Genomic DNA, 14,036 nt, shown 5'->3' with positions numbered 1-14,036 from the left:
CCGGGCGTGGTGGCTCACGCCTGTACTTCCAACTCTTTGGGAGGCCAAGGAGGGAGAATCATTTGAGCCCAGGAGTTTGAGACCAGCCTGGGCAACACAGGGAGACCCTGTCTCTAAAAAAAATACAAAAATTAGCCAGGCATGGTGGTGCATGCCTGTAGTCCCAGCTACTCAGAAGGCCAAGGCAAGAGAATCACTTGAGCTTGGGAAGCAGAGGTTGCAGTGAGCCGAGATCGAGCCACTGTAATCCCAGCACTTTGGGAGGCCAAGGTGGGCGGATCACCTGAGGTCAGGAGTTTGAGACCAGCCTGGCAACATGATGAAACCCTGTCTCTACCTGTGCGACAGAGGGAGACCCTGTCTCAAAACAAACCAAAAACCCTCTTACATGGCAAAATTCATTAGCAAGTAAAAACGAAAATTACAAGCTTGGAAAATATATTTGCAACCTGTATTAAATGGTTAATACCCATAACATATAGCTTCTAAAAATAACAGATTCACAAAGAAATACAAATGGCTTTTAAACATGTAAACAATGTTCAGCCTCACTCATAATATGATGAAATAAAGAGGACCATGAAAAACTACTTCTTGCTTAGCAGATTGGCAAAAATCTCCATGTTTGGTCACAATCTGTAGGTGAGACTTCAGGTAAACAGGAGCTGTCATATACTAATGCTCAGAATACAAAGGGTACAATCTTTGGCGGGGAATGTGGCAATATCTGGCTGAGTCACGTATGCATGTACCCTTCTACCCAGCCATCCTACATCTAGGATTCTAGTCCAAAGATCCCCTGAAAAAATATGAAAAGAATTCCAGCCCCACCAGCAGGCAGCCTGGGCACCCAGAGCCAATCTTTGCAGGGCTGAGGAGCCATGTCACCCTCTGTGGAGGGGCCAGCTGTGTCCAGCCTATGGGCCCAGAAGCAAGTGCTTTACACATGCATGATTTTATCAAGGAGATTATGGAGACCTTGAAGGCCATCCATGCATGTTAAAAACCTTTGCATTCAAAAGCTTTAATAAAAGTTTATATATTGAATAAACAATGTCCTAGGCATTGCACTAAATGCCTATGTATTATCTTATTTAATCCCCACTTGGAGTTAGGATGAAACAGAGGCTCAGACCACAAAGAGCCCCTCTGATTGCCTACACGACCTACAGAAATGTCTTCACTTGATTTCAAATCCACTGTGCAATCCAGAACCAGAGGCACAACAGAGTCTAATTATGGAATAACAACCTCATGACCAGGCTCCAGCACAGCCTTTGAAATTCAGTATTACACCTCTAGGCACAAAAATAAAAGATGCTTCCCCCATAAAGGCTCAGCGGAGTTAGTCTCATGTAAATAGATGAATCTCCTGGTTGAAATGTGAATGGAAAAGTACTCGTCGTGTGCAGTTCCTGGGAGAGAAGGGTGTGGGGAGGAGGACGCACAGACGGGCTCAAGAACGGCCCTATCTACGACCCAGGGCTCTGGGTATTAGGATCCTACCGAAGTGCACTGCCTCTCTCCAGAGCCCCCAGTGTGGGATACACGTGGCCAAAGAAGATCCAATTTGAAAGAGAAACTAAACTGGGTGTTGGAAAACCTTGTGAGAGTCGGTAACCAAAGGAGGCCTGCGTGGTCCTGGTGGAGTGGGAAGGTGTGAAGGGCAGACAGTGGAACAGGCCCAGGAAGGTCAGTAAGCAGAGGCGGGAGTTGGGAGCAAAGCTGGGCTGAGGCCTACAATGTCCTCTAAACTGCTGGAGAGAACTGGGCTTGAAAAGGGAGGGGACAGGGAATCAGCATGGGGAGACAGAGGCACAGGCTGGCCTCCCCCTCCCATGATTCTTGATACCCTTCCCTTGGGCCCAGGGCCCAGACACCAGCTCTGACTCAGCGGATGAAATGCAACCCCATGGCTCATTAATTAGGAAGCCTGTAATTAGCCTGTCTCAGAAACCAGGAGCCTCCAGAGAGAGCCCCTCTCACCTGCCTTCCTCCCTTCCACCCAAAGGATGACATCAAGCTGGGGAGGTCCGGCCTCTGGGACTGAGGAGGGGAAAGTGAAGTGTGAGCAATAGGGGGAATGAGATACCAGGCACGCGTGTCTGCATGCGACAGCCTCGGCGAATTGACCTTCAATCATGAGATGATGGAAATGATGCGAAGTGGCCTAAACCCTAAATGTTTCCTCTACTGAAGAAACCCAGGGACAGGCTTGGGCGTGGCCCAGGTGGGTCTACAACACCTGCAAAGCTGCGAGCCCCTGCAACTCAGTCTGAGAGTGAAACCGCTTCCGTGGCCAGAATGTGGTTGGCACTGGGTGTGTGGTTGGCACTGTGGAGTGACTCGGCAGTGCTGCTTAGACGGCTGCTTTTAGCTGCCTCCCTCACGGCTTCCCTGCAGCTGCTTGTCCACCTTTCTCTTCAACCTTGGATTTTTCCACCTTGAAAAAATCTGTTCCAAAGCTTAGTCTCCTTTCCTCCTGGCTTCATGCCACTGATTATTTTAAATTATTGGCTGCCAATTATTTGGCCCACTTTCCCAGCCAAAAGTGGGCTCTGTTCCTTCTCTTGACCTTGGATAGGCTTGTGGCTGCTTCAGCCTATAAAGCGTGGCAACACTGACCTTCTGTGATTTCTGAGGCTAACATAAAATGCCATGTCACTCTGCCCTTGTTTTCTGGAGATTCACTCTTCATCGAAGCCCTGAGCTGCCATTCAATGGCTTCAAGAGTGAATCCAGGCTGGGCGCGGTGGCTCACGCCTGTAATCCCAACGCTTTGGGAGGCCAAGATGGGTGGATCACCTGAGGTCAGGAGTTCGAGACCAGCCTATCCAACATGGTGAAACCCCAAGTCTACTAAAAATACAAAAATTAGCTGGGTGAGGTGGCGGGTGCCTAATTCCAGCTACTCAGTAGGCCGAGGCAGGAGAATTGCTTGAACCTGGGAGGTGGTGGTTGCAGTGAGCTGAGATCTTGCCACTGCACTCCAGCAAGACCCTGTCTCAAAAAAAAAAAAAAAAAAAAAAAAAAGGTTGAATCCAACTCACAGGAAAGCAGGCAGTCCAGGCAACAGCACTGCAACTGAGCTGAGCCTTTGGGCAACTCCCGCCCAAGTGCCCAGGCATGTGAATGAAGAAGGCCCAGGTGATTTCAGCTTGTAGCCCGCCCCTCCTTCCTGTGGAGGCCCCAGACATTGTGGAACAGATAAAAGGTGTTCACTGTGACCGTCAGAACCTGTGAGCATCATAAAATGGCGGTGGGTTGATACCACTGCATGTTGAGCGGTTTGTTACACAGCAACAGTAACGGAAACAACCACAAAATCCTAGATGATTGCTACAGCGGGGCTAGGGAAGGACGGAGAAACCAGGAGGCAAAGCCGGGATCCTCCTTAGCCAAGAAGGACTGCAAATGCCCCTGTGCTGATAATTCGTGCCCTTCACTGCTGCTGGGCCTGGGCAGGCAGAGGACACACCAACTCGACTGGTCATTTACCCAAGACCCAGGGTTGGGTCCATGGCGGGTCCGGGGGATGTAGTGACCGAAAGGACCACTCTCTAGTAGGGCAGAAAGACAGGGAAACACGTGAATAAAGCATGTCTAGGGCTCCACATTGACCTGAAGCGGGAGGAGGAGGTTGGTTTAGCTAAGGTTAGGGGTAGGGGCAGGAAAGATGAAACTCAGGTTCTGATATCAGAAAATATCTCAGTGGGCCGGGTGTGGTAGCTCATGCCTGTAATCCCAGCACTTTGGGAGGCCAAAGTGAGAGGATCGTTCGAGCCCAGGAGTTCAAGACCAGCCTGGGTAACGTAATTAGCTGGGCATGGTGGCACACGTCTGTAGTCCCAGCTACTCAGGAGGCTGAGATGGGAGGATCGCTTGAGCCCAGGAGGTGAAGGCTGCAGCGAGCTGTGTTTGTGCCACTGCCCCCCAGCCTGGGCAATAGAGTGAGACCCTCTCTAAAAGAAAAGAAAAGATCTCAGTGGATTTGTGGGGGTGAGGGCTGCTTAGCTTTACAGCATTTATTTCCCTTCCTACTATCATCCTGAGATCCTCTCAAGGCACTACCCTTTCTCCATTGCATTCACTCTGAAGGAGCTTTATTCAGACACTTGAGGATGGTCATCATCCAACCTAATCCAAAAAGCCAGCCCCTCCCTGGAGTAGGCACCTGAGCAGAGGGATCAAGAGGAAGGCACTGGAGTCGCCTACAGCAGACCCTGTGGATGCCACTCCCAGGCTCCGTTCTCTTGACCCCTGGGCGTGTCCGTCCCTCAGATGCCGCACATTGGGGTCAGTGGTTTGCAGCTGGCCTTCCTCTGGACGCGTGCCTTCAGCCAGTGGTAGCCACTTCACCAAGAGAGACTCCCTCCCTGCAGCCCCCTTAGTCAATGACTAATACACAAATATTAAAAACTTGACCCTCAGGTCAGGCACCATGGCTGTAATCCCAGCGCTTTGGGAGGCCGAGGTGGGCAGATCACCTGAGGTTGGGAGTTTGAGACCAGCTTGACCAACATGGAGAAAAACCATCTCTACTAATAAAGTACAAAAAAACTAGCCGGGCATGGTGGTGCATCCCTGTAATCCCAGCTACTCGGGAAGCTAAGGCAGGAGAATCACTTGAACCTGGGAGGCGGAGGTTGCAGTGAGCCAATATCGCGCCATTGCACTCCAGCCTGGGCAACAAGAGCGAAACTCCGTCTCAAAAAAAGAAAAAAAATTAGCTTGTGTTGTGGCACACACCTATGTTCCCAGCTACTTGGGAGGCTGAGGCAGGTGGATCACTTGAGCCCAGGAAGGAGGTCAAGGCTGCAGTGAGCTGTGATTGCCCCACTGTGCTCCAGCCTAGGTGACAAAGCCAGATCCTGCCTCAAAAAAGAAAAAAGAAAAGACCTGGCGCAGTGGCTCACACCTGTAATCCCAGCACTTTGGGAGCCTGAGGTGGGCAGATCACCTGAGGTCAGGAGTTCAAGACCAGCCTGGCCAACTTGGTAAAACCCCATCTCTATTGAAAATACAAAAATTAGCCTGGTGTGGTGATGCGTGCCTGCAATCCCAGCTACTTGGGAGGCTGAGGCAGGAGAATCGCTTGAACACAGAGGCAGAGGTTGCAGTGAGCCAAGACCATGCCATTGCACTCCAGCCTGGGCAACAGATCGAAACTCTGTCTCAAAAAAGAAAAGAAAAGAAAAAAACCCATCAAAAACACTAAACATATTTTGTGATATATTTGTTTGTTTGTTTTTGAGACAGGGTTTCACTCCCGTTGCCCAGACTGGAGTGCAGTGGTGTGATCTTGGCTCACTGCAACCTCTGTTTCCTGGGCTCAAGCAATTCTCCTCTCTCAGCCTCCCAAATACCTGGGACTACAGGGATCTGGCTAATTTTTTTATTTATTCATTTTTTTTGAGATGGAGTCTCGCTCTGTCACCTAGGCTGGAGTACAGTGGCACGATCTCAGCTCACTGGAACCTTCACCTCCTTCTCCTGCTTCAGCCTCCCAAGTAGCTGAGACTACAGGTGTGTGCCACCATGCCTGGCTAATTTTTTGTACTTTCAGTAGAGACGGGGTTTCAGCATGTTAGCCAGGATGGTCTGGATCTCCTGACCTCATGATCCGCCTGCCTCGGCCTCCCAAAGTGCTGGGATTACAGACGTGAGTCCTGGTGCCCGGCCTAATTTTTATATTTTTAGTAGAGATGGGGTTTCGCCATGTTGGCCAGGCTGGTCTTGAACTCCTGAACCCAGGTGATCTGCCCGTGTCAGCCTCCCTAAGTGCTGGGATTACAAGTGTGAGCCCATGCCTTCATGATATTGTTATGTGGCTTATAATGTACATGCCAAGAACACATTATCAGCATACAGTAAACATTAGCTATTCTACATTATCCCTATTTATACAGTTTTCCTCTTTAGTGCAGGGAAATGAATAGGTCTTGGAAAATGAGAAGGATTTTGCTAAATTTAGCCTGGGGGCACCTAATGGAGGCCGGTTCCAAATATAGTCTTCCCCCTGCAGTAAATCTGCACAGCCCCTGGGTTTTGTATGCAGTTATTGATCTGGGGAATTTTTTTTTTATTTTTCCATCAGGAGGTACAGACTATCTGGATGTCAAAGGAAGGGTGAGTGGAGTTTTAATCAATATTAATAATAACAGCAATGAGTACTGAGAAGTCTTAAAAACAAGGTGAAACTAAAACATTAACTACAATAAAATATATGATTACAGTAAAGGAATCCTTTTCATTTTATATTTTATTTTATTATTTTTGGAGTCAGAATCCTGCTCTGTCACCCAGGTTGGAGTACAGTAGGGCAATCTTGATTCACTGCAACCTCCACCTCCTGGGTTCAAGCGATTCTCCTGCCTCAGCCTCCTCAGTAGCTGGGACTATAGGCACGCACGACTACACCCGGCTAGTTTTTGTATTTTTAGTAGAGACAGGGTTTCGTCATGTTGGCCAGGCTGGTCTCGAACTCCTGGCCTCAAGTGATCCACCTGCCTCGGCCTGCCAAAGTATTGGGATTACAGGCGTGAGCCACCGCACTGGGCAAGAAATCCTTTTTAAAACATTCTAAGGAACCCAGCTTGTTTGGAGGAGAATAAAGATATGGATTAATCTTAAATATTGCTTAAACTACTGAAATAATAGAAATAAGATTTAAAGATAATCCATTTTAAGACAAGAAAGAAGGAAAAAGAAGTGAAAGGGTGTCATAGTAAATGGAAAACAGAAGCAATGAAACCAGAAGTTCGAGACCAGCCTGGGCAACATATGAGACCATGTCTCTATAAAACATTTTTTTAAAAATTAGCTGGTGGCAGGCTGGGCGCGGTAGCTCACGCCTATAATCCCAGCACTTTGGGAGGCCGAGACAGGCGGATCACGAGGTCAGAAGATTGAGACCATCCTGGCTAACACAATGAAACCCTGTCTCTACTAAAAATACAAAAAATTAGCCAGGCATGGTGGCCGGCGCCTGTAGTCCCAGCTACTCAGGAGGCTGAGGCAGGAGAATGGCATGAACCCGGGAGGCAGAGCTTGCAGTGAGCCAAGATGGCACCACTGCACTCCAGCCTGGGTGATAGAGAGCGAGACTCCATCTCAAAAAAAAAAAAAAAAATTAGCTGGTGGCCGGGGGCGGTGGCTCATGTACTTTGGGAAGCTGAGGTGGGCGGATCACAAGGTCAGGAGTTCAAGACCAGCTTGGCCAATATGGAGAAACCCCGTCTTTACTGAAACTACAAAAATTAGCCAGGCGTGGTGGTAGGCGCCTGTAGTCCCAGCTACTTGGGAGGCTGAGGCAGGAGAATTGCTTTAACCTGGGAGGCGGAGGTTGCAGTGAGCCAAGATTGCGCCACTGCACTCCAGCCTGGGCAACAGAGCGAGACTCTGTCTCAAAAAAAAAAAAAAAAAAAAAAAAAAACTGGCATGGGCCAGGCACGGTAGCTCATGCCTGTAATCCCAGCACTTAGGGAGGCTGAGGCGGGTAGATCACCTGACGTCAGGAGTTCAGCCTGACCAATATGGAGAAACCCTGTCTCTACTAAAAATACAAAATTAGCCAGGTGTGGTGGCACATGCCTGTAATCCCAGCTACTCGGGAGGCTGAGGCAGGAGAATCGCTTGAACCCGGGAGGCAGAGGTTGCAGTGAGCCGAGATCGTGCCATTGCACTCAAGCCTGGGCAACAAGAGAAAAGTCTGTCTCAAAAAAAAAAAAAAAAATTAGCTGGCATGGTGGGTTGGGCTTGTAGTCCCAGCTACTTGGGAATCTGAGGTAGGAGGATAGTTTGATGACCGCGCCACTGCACTCCAGCCTGAGTGACAGAGCTAGACCGTGTCTCCACAATAACAAAAAGAAAACAGAAGCTAAATGTTTGCAAATGAATCCAAGTAGACGGGCAGCCACCATCAATGTTAACAGATTCAATTTGCCTTGTTAAAACCGGAGCTCTCAGGTTGAATAAAAAATAAAATCTTTGCCGGGCGTGGTGGCTTACACGTGTAATTCCAGCACTTCCAGAGGCCAACACCGGAGAATTCCTTGAGGCTAGGAATTCGAGACTAGCCTGAGCAACATAATAAGATCCCATCTCTACAAAAACATAAAAAATAAAAATCAGCTGGTCGTGGCGGTCGGTACCTATAGTCCCAGCTACTTGGGAGGCCGAGGCAAGAGGATCAGTTGAACCCAGAAGTTTGAGGCTGCAGTGAGCTATGATTGCACCACTGCACTCCAGCCTGGGCAACAGAGCCTATCTCTAAAAAAACACACACTTACGCCTGTAATCCCAGCACTTTAGGAGCTGAGGTGGGTGGATCACTTGAGGTCAGGAGTTCAAGACCAGCCTGGCCAACATGGTGAACATGGCCATCTCTACTAAAAATACAAAAATTAGCTGGGTGCGTTGGCAGGTGCCTGTAATCCCAGCTACTTGAGAGGCTGAGACAGGAGAATTGCTTGAACCTGGGAGGCAGCGGCTGCAGTGAGCTGAAAAACACACCACTGCCCTCCATCCTTGGCAATACAGCAAGACTCTGTCGCAAAAAAAAAGAAAAGAAAGAAAGAAAGAAGATGAAATGTAATAAAGGTATAAATCAGTGAAACAAACACTATGGAGATTCAACACAACCAGAGGTTGGTTCTTTAAAACAATCACATAAAAGGAGTCGGGTGCAGTGGCTCACGCCTGTAATCCCAGCACTTTGGGAGGCTGAGACAGGTGGATCATTTGAGGTCAGGAGCTCGATACCAGCCTAGCCGACCTGGTGAAACCCCATTTCTACTGAAAATAAAAAAATTAACCGGGCAGTAGTGGCACATGCCTGCAATGCCAGCTATTCCGGAGGCTGAGGCAGGAGAATTGCTTGAACCCAAGAGGCAGAGGTTGCATGAGCTGAGATCACGCCACTGTACTCCAGTCTGAGCAACAGAGTGAGACCCTGTCTCAAAAGAAAAAAAAAAAAAATCACATAAAAGGCACCAACAGAGAAGACCCGGCAGCACTGCCTGGAATTGGCGTACCCTTGGGGGCTGGGGACAACGGTGTGTCACTCGGGGGAGTGGACAAAGGTGAGAGTTAGCAGGGCCAGACCTGCAGGCCTGTTGGACATGTCTGGGCATTGTCCAGAGGGCAATGGGGAGCCATGGACAGGTTTTGAGCGGGAAGTGGCATGGTCAGTCAGGGAGGCAGGATGGGATGGCTCTGAAGATAACCTGGGGCCAAGCCCAGGCATGTGAGGCAGGCCAAGGCACTGGGAGGCCAGGGGCAGGCTGGGGCAGGGAGCTTGGGAACCAGGACTGATAGGCTCCTCGCTCAGTAGTTCTGCCCGGCTTAGCTGTGTGGTCCCGGACAAGCCACGGGGTCTCTCTGTGCCACAGGGTCCCCACAAGTGAAGTGATCTGTACAAGTCTACCAATGCCTTCCAGCCTGGGGCCGGGGACAAATACCCCAGTTACTGACCCAGCAGCCAGTCCCGTCCCTCCTCTTCCTCACCAACAGGACCCCATTTTGTCAGGGGCCTGTGAGCACACCTAATCTTAGGGGTGAGCTTTGGCTGGCCTAACCCAAAGAAGGCAGCCGGCTAGTGGTGCTTGTCCAGTCTGGAGGGATTTAGGGGTGGGGACTCTGGGCAGGTTTCTCCTCCCTGAGAGCGGAGAGGCTCAGAAGAGGGAACCCATTTTGTGGCTGTCCCCTTGCCACAAGGAGGGACACTCAGACATGTGGAGGGTACCAGACAGGAGTGGGGAAGCCCTAGATGCCATCCCTGAATTTCAGCCAGGCCTGGGACCACCCACTTCCCAACTTGAATTATAGTAAATTACAAATGTCTTTGGGGTTTAGTCACTGCTATTTTATTTTGTTTATTTTATATTTTATTATTATTATTTTTTATAAGACAGGGTCTGACTGTGTCACCCAGGCTGAAGTGCAGTGGCACGATCATAGCTCATTTCAGCCTCCGGTTCCTGGGCTCAAGCCATCATCCTGCCTCTGCCTTGCTAGTAGTTGGGACCACCGGCATGCACCCCCAAGCCCAATCTTTTTTTTTTCCCCTTCAAAGATGGGTTCTGACCATGTCACCCAGCCTGGAGTGCAGTGGCTATTCACAGGCAGGATCCCACTACTGATTAGCACAGGGTTTTCACCTGCTCCATTTCTGATCTGAGTCGGTTCACCCCTCCTTAGGCAACCTGGTGGTCCCCTTGCACCCGGGAGGTCACCATGCTGATGCTGAACTTAGTGCAGACGCCAGCTAGGCATAGCCCACGGCAGCCCAGGCAGGAGTGCAGTGGCGTGATCATGGCTCACTGCAGCCTGTACCTCCTGGGCTCAAGCATCCTCCTGCCTCAGCCTCAGGAGTAGCTGGGACTCCAGGCGCGTGCCCCAGCACCCGGCTCTGCTAGGGTTTTGTGGCAGTAGCGTGGTGAAGGGCACAGACCCTGGAGCCTGAGTTTGAATCCCAGGTCTGCTGTTTATCACTTGTTCGTTGAATAACTTGGGCAAGTTATTCAACCTCTCTGCCCCTCAGTTTCCTGTCTGCAAATAGAGATAAAAATACTTCCTCCTTCACAGGGTTTATGTGATTCAAGGAGGAAAATATACGTAAAAGGCTTAAAACAGTGATGCTGGCACACACTCCTTTTTTTTTTTTTTTTTTTTTTGAGACAGAGTTTCACTCTTGTTGCCCAGGCTGGAGTGCAGTGGCGCAATCTCGGCTCACTGCAACAGCCGCCTCCCTGGCTCAAGCGATTCTCCTGCCTCAACCTCCCGACTAGCTGGGATTACAGGCGCCTGCCACAACGGCCGGCTAATTTTTGTATTTTTAGTAGAGATGGGGTTTCACCATGTTGGCCAGGCTGGTCTTGAACTCCTGATCTCAGGTGATCCACCCGCCTTGGCCTCCCAAAGTGCTGGGATCACAGGCGTGAGCCACCGCTCCCGGCCCCACACTCTGTGTTTTTATTGCCAGTGGTTTAGCACGTTCGTAGGCCACGCGTCCTGTATGACGTCCCTACCACACACACGCGCGCACACGCACACACAGCTGGGTTCTCTCTTTCACATCCCTGCACAAGCTGTTTATCCCTCCAGGTGTGTCCTCCCCGTCTCCTTTTCCGGGGAATTTCAGTCCCCAGCCACAGGCAACGAGTACACCCCGTAGAAGCCCACCCCGCGCGGCGGCCTATCCTGCCCACTCGCCCCAGGACCCCTCCGCCGGCCCGCGCGCCCCAGGTTGGAGGGGTGAGGTGGGGTCTCTCTGGGCGGAGGTGGAACTCTCAATTGGCAGCCTAGGGCGAGGCTCACACGTGGACCCCCGGACCACCACGCGCCTGGCAGCGCGGCCTCTCTGCGCTGGTTTCCTTCACCGGCGAGCGGCGCCGCTGGGCCTGGGGCCTGGGGCTCAGACGGGGCCCTGCCGGGCAGGCGGAAGGGCGAGCGTGCAAGCCGGGGCCGCCTCCGCTGCAGCCCCCTCCGCTGCCGCCTGGATCGGCCGCTTCCCCCTCCCAGCCGCCCGGATCGGCCGCTTCCCCCTCCCAGCCGCCCGGCTGATGGCGCTAAGTGATTCCGGGCACCGCGCTCCGGGGTGGCGCCGACCCGCGGGGCCCTGGGGGCCGCCGGAGCCGTGCTCATGCTGCTCTTAGCAGTCTGCGCACAGCGCGCCTCATTAGGGGCCGCCGGGCCGACGGGGACGTGCGCCCAGCGCTGCGCCTCCCAATCTGTGCTCGACCCCGGCCCCCGAGCTTCCGCGCCCTCGGGTCCCCGAGGCCCGCGCTGTTTCCTGTCTCTCCTGGTGACTTCACTCTTCATCTCAGCACCCGCGGGTGTCTGGCTGCGTGGGGGCTGGGAGCGCGGACAGGCCTAGCTCTTCCTTAAGTCTAGCAAAGGGAACGTCTGTGGGACCCCAGGGCCGCAGTCATTGTCCCCGGCGGGTGCGACAGGCCACGTCACTTGGAACACGGAGCTAGGGTTGAGCGTCTCTAGATGCGAGTCTACAGGTCTTGCTGCCGTACAGGTTTTCCATATAGAAACGAGTTTGTCAAAAATATTTTTCTTCGTTTATTTTGCCTTTTACTTAGGTTATTTTTGCAAGTTAAAGAATTTTTATTGTCTTTTCATTTCTGATTTCTTTTAAAAGTTTAATGTAACCCCCCTCTAGAGATACGATAAATATTCAGACCTGGCTTCCCGCATCCCCTCCCCGCCGCTCCCCGGCCCTCGTCAGCTGATTTTTTTTTGAGACGGAGTCTCACTCTGTCGCCCAGGCTGGAGTGCAGTGGCGCGATCTTGGCTTACTGCAACCTCCGCCTCCTGGGTTCAAGTGATTCTCCTGCCTCAGCCTCCCAAGCAGCTAAGACTGCAGGCGCGCACCACCATGCCCAGCTCATTTTTTTTTGTATTTTTGGTAGAGACGGGGTTTCACCATGTTGGCCAGGATGGTCTTGAACTCCTGACCTCGTGATCTGCCCGCCTCGGCCTCCCAAAGTGTTGGGATTACAGGCATGAGCCACCGCGCCCAGCTTGTCGGCTGATTTTATTCTATTTAGCTCTTCAATCCAGCTGAGATGTGCCTTGGTCTGGAAAGAGCAGAAGGCCTCCCCCGCCCTTTTTTACTTGGTCCTGCAGTGGATCCATTTCAGTTCCATACCTGTCCCCTCAGGCTCAGCATTTTTCTCAGAGGTTTCTCATCCCTGCTCAATGTATCCTCTTTGATTCAATTCAGTAAGCAGGTCTTGGGCTCCCACAACATCTTTTGTTTGCTCTTGTTCCCCTCTTCATAGTTTACAGAGCATTTGTGTGGGTCCTCAAAAATACTACTGGAGGCTGGCGCCGTGGCTCACACCGGTAATCCCAGCACTTTGGGAGGCAGAGGTAGGCGGATCACTTGAGGTCAGGAGTTCGAGACCAGCCTGGCCAACATGGTGAAAGCCCATTTCTACAAAAAATACAAAAATTAGCCAGGCATGGTGGTGAGCATCTGTAATCCCAGCTACTAGGGAGGCTGAGGCACGAGAATTGCTTGAACCCGGGAGGCGGAGGTTGCAGTGAGCCAACAGGTGAAAAGAGAGAAAGCTGGACTTACTGCTACCAGCAGTGTTCTTTTGAAAATGAAGCCAGCTAGGCACGGTGGCTCATGCCTGTAATCCCGGCACTTTGGGAGGTCAAGGTGGGCACATCATTTGGGCTCGGGAGTTTGAGACCAGCCTGGGGAAAATGGTGAAATCCTGTCTGCACAAAAACAAAGATTAGCTGGGCATGGTGCTGTGGTTCCAGCCACTCGGGAGGCTGAGGTGGGAGGATCACTCTTAAGCCCAGGAGGTAGAGTTTGCAGTGAGCCATGATCGCACCACTGCACTCCAGCCTGGGCGACAGAGCGAGACACTGTCTCAAAAAAAAAAAAAAAAAAAAAGAAAAAGAAAAAAAGAAAAGAAAAGAAAAAGAACATGAAGCCAATGGCCAGGCACAGTGGCTCACGCCTGTAATTGCAGCACTTTGGGAAGCCAAGGTGGGAGGATTACTTGGGACCAGGGGTTTGAGACTAGCTTGGGCAACACAGTGAGACCCTCATCTCTACAAAAAAAAAAAAAAAAAAAAAAAAAATTAAAAAGGAAAAAAGATAGAAAGAAAATGAGGCCATGCCCTCTCTGGCAGTAGTGGAGATGTTCTATGGTATATACAGCAGGGGAATAAGAAACAGAAGGTGTGGGCAGGGCAGATGCTCTGCTAAGATTAGTTAACTGTTACTTCTTCTCAGAAAAGGTGGTCTAAGGGTAAGGAAGTACTTTATAGAACATTCTGACATTTGGGGTTTCATCTGGAGGCTTGCCACGTTTTATTATGTAAGGATTGCAGAAATCTTAACCCTTTATGGCACCCTCATCTGATTCCCTTAAGACCTCAGTGGGACAGGAAGTGGGGTTAGTACTTCAAGTAAATAACCTTGGGAACAGGTGTGACTTGCCCTGGGTCACACAGAACTCCCTGGAGAGCTGAAGCTGGTACCCAGAGCTTCCCTTCCTTCT

The 14,036-nt window shown here is 51.0% G+C and overlaps 1 pseudogene, besides 2 other annotated features; it reads right to left on the bottom strand.

Annotated features, from left to right (window-relative positions):
• On the bottom strand, window positions 10,074-10,410 carry RN7SL555P (RNA, 7SL, cytoplasmic 555, pseudogene; annotated as a pseudogene).
• Window positions 10,998-11,498: an enhancer, noted in NCBI's record as "H3K27ac hESC enhancer chr20:3073729-3074229 (GRCh37/hg19 assembly coordinates)". NCBI's record gives its function as "activates a minimal SCP1, AML or CMV promoter by ChIP-STARR-seq in primed H9 embryonic stem cells {active_cell/tissue: H9 hESC(primed)}" and the evidence as "EXISTENCE:reporter gene assay evidence [ECO:0000049][PMID:30033119]".
• Window positions 11,499-11,999: an enhancer, noted in NCBI's record as "H3K27ac hESC enhancer chr20:3073228-3073728 (GRCh37/hg19 assembly coordinates)". NCBI's record gives its function as "activates a minimal SCP1, AML or CMV promoter by ChIP-STARR-seq in primed H9 embryonic stem cells {active_cell/tissue: H9 hESC(primed)}" and the evidence as "EXISTENCE:reporter gene assay evidence [ECO:0000049][PMID:30033119]".

Source organism: Homo sapiens, chromosome 20 (genome assembly GCF_000001405.40).
Source record: "Homo sapiens chromosome 20, GRCh38.p14 Primary Assembly".
Classification (NCBI taxonomy): Eukaryota; Metazoa; Chordata; class Mammalia; order Primates; family Hominidae; genus Homo; species Homo sapiens.
The sequence above is the reverse complement of the archived record's forward strand: the minus strand, read 5'-3'. Positions and strand labels throughout refer to the sequence as shown.